The 2,439-nt window shown below is 47.8% G+C and overlaps 1 non-coding gene across 1 annotated transcript; it reads left to right on the forward strand.

The window, feature by feature from the left end:
• The first annotated feature begins 444 nt into the window (after nt 1–444).
• LOC124904837 (small nucleolar RNA U13) lies at nt 445–545 on the forward strand. Its single transcript, XR_007067433.1, has one exon. It is a non-coding gene; the product is annotated as a small nucleolar RNA U13 (small nucleolar RNA).
• Nucleotides 546–2,439: the final 1,894 nt, after the last annotated feature.

Genomic DNA, 2,439 nt, shown 5'->3' on the forward strand with positions numbered 1-2,439 from the left:
GGAAACAGAAGGGCCTCTGGAGTGAATAACACATGGTTCTGTGGGCTTTGAGTGTCACGCAGAGGCATCATCTTAAAAGACAATCTCGGCCAGGCGAGGTGGCTCATACCTGTAATCCCAGCACTTTGGGAGGCCGAGGTGGGTGGATAACCTTAGGTCAGGAATTCGAGACCAGCCTGGCCAACATGGTGAAACCCCGTCTCTACTAAAAATACAAAAATTAGCTGGGTGTGGTGGTGCATGCCTGTAATCTCAGCTACTGGGGAGGCTGAGGCAGGAGAGTCGCTTGAACCTGGGAGGTGGAGGTTGCAGTGAGCTGAGAACGCACCACTGCATTCCAGCCTGGGCGACAGAGTGAGACTCCATCTCAAAAATAATAAATAAATAAATAAATAAATAAATAAATAAATAAATAAATAAATAAAATAAGTGTTTGGATCATGAACACTTATGTGGTTCATAAAAGTGATTGAGTTTTCATGTTCATGTGTTGAATGTGCCTCCCTCAAACCTTGTTAAGTCATCAGCACATTACCCATTTGATGTGAACTTAGAAAAAAATAAAAGAGGGCCAGATAACAGTGGCTCACACCTGTAATCCCAGCACTTTGGGAGGCCAAGGTGGGTGGATCACTTAAGGTCAGGAGTTTGAGACCAGCCTGGCCAACATGATGAAACTCCGTCTCTACTAAATAAACAAAAATTAGCTGGGCATGGTGGTACATGCCTGTAATCCCAGCTACTCAGGAGGCTGAGGCAGGAGAATCACTTGAATCCAGGAGGTGGAAGTTACAGTGAGCTGAGTTGTCACCGCTGCAATCCAGCCTGGATGACAGAGTGAGACTCTGTCTCAACAAAAAAAAAAAAAAAAAGAAAATGTTTTTATTTAAAGAAAGACATTTACTCAGGTGTTGCATAGCTCTAGCAAAAATGAGGAAGATGGTTCCACAAACCACCTTGGCTTGAGGAATAGGATTTGATGCTTCTGGCTCCTCCCAACTCTGATGTTCTCCAGTCTACGATGGACCATGGCGTCTGACTGTCTAGAAAAATCCATGATGAAGGAAAGTTGGGTAGTGTACAAGAAAGCAAGCCTGCTTGAAGGCATGCATTGAATTACACAGGTTGGGTCCCAATCCACAGAAAGCCTTTTGCCTTTGAAAGTGTTACCAGGCGGAGCACTGGGGCTCACGCCTGTAATCCCAATACTTTGGGAGACCAAGGTGGGAGGATTGCTTGAGTCTGGGAGTTTGAGACCAGCCTGGGCAGCGTAGGGAGATCCTGTCTCTACATAAAATTTAAAAATTAGCTGGGCAGGCTGGGCGCGGTAGCTCACGCCTGTAATCCCAGCACTTTGGGAGGCCGAGGTGGGCGGATCACCTGAGGTCAGGAGTTTGAGACCAGCCTGGCCAACATGGTGAAACCCCGTCTCTACTAAAAATACAAAAATTAGCTGGGCATGGTGGCAGGTGCCTGTAATCCCAGCTACTCAGGAGGCTGAGGCAGGAGAATTGCTTGAACCTGGGAGGCGGAGGTTGCAGTGAGCCGAGATCACACCATTGCACTCCAGCCTGGGCTACAGAGCAAGACTCAGTCTCAAAAAAAAAAAAAAAAAAAAAAAAAAAAAAAAAAAAAAAATTAGCTGGGCATAATGGTGTGCATCTGCAGCCCCAGCTACTAAAGAGATTGAGGCAGGGGGCTCACTGGAGCCCAGAAGGTGGAATGAGTTATGCTCGCGCCACTGCACTCCAGCCTGAGCGGCAGAATGAGACCCTGTCTCAAAAAAATTTAAAAAAAGTAGAAAAAGTGTTGCCAAGTGTGCGACCTCGTCATCAGACAGTGGCAGGATTATGGGGCTCAGGAAGCAGGAAGTCAGCACCAAAGGAGGATGTACCTCGCTGGTGGGAGCCTGATCTTGGCCTATATGTAGGAAAGAGTCTTTTTTTTGAGATGGAGTCTCGCTCTGTCGCCCAAGCTGGAGTGCAGTGGCGTGATCTCGGTCCACTGCAACCTCCACCTTCCAGATTCAAGCAGTTCTTTGCCTCAGCCTCCCGAGTAGGTGGGACTACAGGTGCCCACCACCACACCTGGCTAATTTTTGTATTTTTAGTAGAGATGGGGTTTCACTATCTTGGCCAGACTGGTCTTGAACTCCTGACCTCGTGATCCACCGGCCTCGGCCTTCCAAAGTGCTGGGATTACAGGTGTGAGCCACTGCATGGGGCCAAGACAGTCATTTCTGTGTCCACTAGTTGCCCTGCAAAGTATCATTTTTAGCTGGAATCCAATCCTTCCTTTGAGGAATGAGAAAACTAAGACCCAGGGAAGCTGAGCTGTCTCCAAGTCTGAATCGAATGGAGGGGAACCATGTGTCCACGCCCTCGAGGCTGTGGCTTAGTCCCTGCCACTCTGACAACGAAACCACTCATTATTTTTCAT

The sequence above is a fragment of the Homo sapiens genome, chromosome 1 (assembly GCF_000001405.40).
Source record: "Homo sapiens chromosome 1, GRCh38.p14 Primary Assembly".
Taxonomy (NCBI): Eukaryota; Metazoa; Chordata; class Mammalia; order Primates; family Hominidae; genus Homo; species Homo sapiens.